The sequence below is a fragment of the Homo sapiens genome, chromosome 17 (assembly GCF_000001405.40).
Source record: "Homo sapiens chromosome 17, GRCh38.p14 Primary Assembly".
Classification (NCBI taxonomy): Eukaryota; Metazoa; Chordata; class Mammalia; order Primates; family Hominidae; genus Homo; species Homo sapiens.
Genome location: NC_000017.11, coordinates 42,870,677 through 42,874,673, shown reverse-complemented (window position 1 = coordinate 42,874,673; position 3,997 = coordinate 42,870,677).

Genomic DNA, 3,997 nt, shown 5'->3' with positions numbered 1-3,997 from the left:
AAAACCAGGAGTGGTCTGGAGAAATGCTTAGCCACGGCTCCAGGCTCCAGGCTGGGCCATGCCTCACCTCTCTGGATGGGAACTCAGCACAGCTGGCATCAACAAAGCTGACTGTCCCCTGTGTCAGGCATCACAGGGTCAGGAGGCTCCTGGCTCAGAGGGGGATGTGAAGGAGGGCAGTGGAGGGAAGAGAGTCCTGGCACAGGGAAGAGGGAACCAGGCTGCCGGCCCAGTGCCCAGCTGCTCCCCATCCCTCACACCCTGGCCCTGGAGCCCTTGGCCACATGCCCCATCCCAGGACCGCCTAGTTGTGAGAGAAGCCCCCGTGGGAGAAGGCAGGGAGGTCGGGGGCACAGGCAGCAGCCTGGGGCAGGCAAGCTAGGGGGTTGACCTCGCAGGCCCCAGCATCCTGGTCCCCTCGGAAGTAGATGGAGTCGGCAGAGTAGAAGGAGGGGTCTTCGTCAAAGAAGTTGTAGGGTCGGAGGAAGAAGCCCACGCTGTTCCCCACAGTCACTGTGTTAGGAATGTCCTCTGCATGTGGGATATGCAGAAAACCAGCTGTCACCCAGGCCACCAAGTCCTAGCAGGGGAGAAGAAAGAGGATCACGAGGTCTGGCTTTGCTGAGGACATGCCCTGCCTCCCACAGTGACCTTGCAGATAGGGAGTCAGCTCACCCACCTGTATGTTCTTAGTTTCTCAGGAAAAATCTGAAATCATAAAGTTTCTTTCTTTCTTTTTTTTTTTTTTTGAGACAGAGTCTCGCTCTGTCACCTAGGCTGGAGTGCAGTGGTGTGATCTCGACTCATTGCAATCACCACCTCCTGGGTTCAAGCCTCAGGCACCCGAATAGCTGGAATTACAGGCACGCGCCACCACACTCTGCTCATTTTTGTATTTTTAGTAGAGATGGAGTTTCACCATGTTGCCCAGGCTGGTCTCGAACTCCTGAGCTCAAGATATCCACCTGCCTCAGCCTTCTAAAGTGCTGGGATTATAGGCATGAGCCACTGCACCCGGCCAAAGTTTCATTGTTAGTGGTTTCTGAAGATCCCTGAGGAATCTCGCTTCTGAGGCAGTGAAGTGGCTCATCTTGTCCCCCTGACTCCTCCCCTCCTCTCCAGCTGCCTGCTCACCCCTCCGCGCAACTAACCTGCCCTGCAATGGTCTCATTGTTGATGAAGTCAGTGAAGTCCACAGTGGGTGTCCAAGGGTCATTCAAATTGTAGATGCTGGTGCTACTAGGTTCCTCCTCCTTCCGCTGGGTTACCACCAGCTGGTACCTACAGGAGTTTTTTATTAGACCTACAAGTTCGTCAACTGTCCCACTGCCTGAAGCTGCACTGAAGAGTGAACACTAGGGGGAAATGAGCCCCAAAGTCTTGGAGTATTGAGCCTCTGTATCATTCTTTGTCCAGTTCTCCTTGCCTGTCTCTGTCTCTCTCTCTCTCCTCTGCAGACTTCCCCCACTTGTCCACTGTCCTGTACCTTAAACATCAACTGGCCCACCAGGCTTCAGGTAGAAATGTTGCTCATCCATCCATCTGGATCAGAGCATGATGTTGAGCCTGGGCCTTGGAACCATACATATGGACATGGCCTGTTTCCCATCCTAGGTCAAGTTCAGTATCTCAAATACCTAGATTTCAGGGAATCCTCCCTCCGATCTGTGTTCCCATCTCACTGTTTTTTTCCTCCAACCTTTAATGTGAACATTTTAAACATACAGAAAAATTGGAAGAATTGTATAGTGAACATCCACATACTCAAGTCTAGCGTCTACCATTAACATTTTCCTAGATTTTCTTCAATGCCTCATATCTCAGCATTCCTCCACCCACCCATTAGGCTTTGTTTTGAGTGCCTACAGATTGCGGCCACAGGAATGTGTGTGTGTGTTTGTGTGTACCTGTGGGAGGTGGAGCAGTGTGGAGCCCTTCATACATTCTACTTGCCCCACTCCCTCCTGACCGCCGACCACTCACCTCCCCCAGCTGAAGCCTCTCTCCACGGAGCTGTTCTGGGGCAGTGGCTCCCCAGAAAAGCTGCGCACCTGGATGCGGTAGCCCCGGGGGTGACCCCACTTGTTGCTGTGGTTGCTGGCCAGGTACAGGTAGCGAGGGGTGGCGCCTCCCATGGGGAAGGTGGCTTGCTCCTCTGTCTCCAGCAGCTTCCGGGTCACCTGCAGCCTCTGCATCTGGTGCTCAGGGCTCCAGGGCACAGCCATGGGGACAAAGGCCATATCCTCGGCCCAGACCCAGTTCTCCAGTCCTGCTCAGGGTGGGATCGGGGAGGGCCAGTCATGCAATTGCCCTGGCCCCTCTGGACTCTGCCCCCACCTGGCTTCAGAGTGGGGGCAGAGTGGGGGCCAAAGAGCAGCCCAGAACTGAGTGTGCCCCTGCTTCTCTTCCCTCTCCCCAAGATAGTCCCAGTCCAGGGATTTGGAGGAGGGCTTTCTCCCTTCTGTCTTCTCTGGTAATAATCCCAGATGCCTTGCGACTGGGCCTCCACCAATGTCCTCCCTCTGAGGGGCTGCATGGGAGGGTGTTTACCTGAGGTTGGAACAATCCTGTGGGCAATAGGCAGGTGGCACTCCCTCTGACCTGAAGACTTCTCCTCACATGTGAAGCCCTGTGGCATTGCCAGGACTGCCTTATCATGAAAATAAGCCTCACATTGACTCAACCTGAAGGAGCTGTGTAGGGAGCATGCCGAGTGCCTTCTGTGTATTCATGCTTTCACTTCTACAACAATCTCAAAAAGGAGGAACTATCATTGTCTCCATCTTACAGATGGGACAACTGAGTCTTAGAGCATTCAATAATGTACCCTGGTTGGTCAGCAAGGACACACGGTTAATATCATGGCAGTGCTGGGGACCTGGTTCTTAGTCTGGCCTTACACTGCCCACACATCAGCACATAGAGGAAGACAGCACAGAGAGACACCACAACAGAACAGCAGACATGGGGACCAAGGGGAAGGAAAACCAATACTGGGCCCGACGCTGTTGGGGCTTGGAGATACCTTTCGCAGTTTGAAATTTGGCAGGGAGCAGGGAGCGGGGCTTAAGACACAATCTGTTTCCTGAACTTTTGGAGTCTGAATGATTTTATTTGAGTCTAACTAGGTCCCATATTAGGAGTCAAGTTAAGTGATCTGAGACAAGGAGCAATAAATCAAAACATGCTGGTAGCTCCCTCTGCACCTTCCAAAGACCAGGAGAGAGGAGAGACTGATTCAGCAAACCCTTAGTTTCCTTTTGTAGATTCACTGCCCCTACTCCATATCCCAGTGTTTCCACCCTTAGGTGACAATTGCCGACTAAGAGTTTTTTTTGTTTTTTTGGTTTTTTTGAGACAGAGTTTCGCTCTCGTTGCCCAGGCTGGAGTACAGTCGCATGATCTTGGCTCACTGCAACCTCTGCCTCCCAGGTTCAAGTGATTATTTTGCCTCAGCCTCCAAGTAGCTGGGATTACAGGTGCACACCAGCATGCCCAGCTAATTTTTGTATTTTTAATAGAGACGGGGTTTCACCATGTTGGCCAGGCTGGTCTCGATCTCCTGACCTCAGAAGATCCACCCACCTCAGTCTCCCAGACTGCTGGGATTACAGGCGTGAGCCACTGTGCCCGGCCAGAGACTAAGAGTTCTTTATGGTCCACACACACAAGTAGGCTCCTGTGGCTAATCACAACAATACCTAGTATTTCTCAAGGGCCCACTATGTGTCAGGCACTGTTCCAAGTGTTTTAAAAGTTGTCATCATTTAATAACAGAGATAAAGATAGATGTGTGTGTATGGGTTGGTTGGAATATATGCTTAAATTTTCTAGCTAAGTCCACTGAGAGGGCCTAAAAGCAATGACATCCCAGTAATAATGAGCACACTTGGTGCCCAGATATTGGTTTCTAAATACCATTCTCCAATAAAGTGAACCCGATCTCCCTGGAGACAAGGTTGATTCCAGGGTAGAAGCAGGGAAAATGCCAGATGAA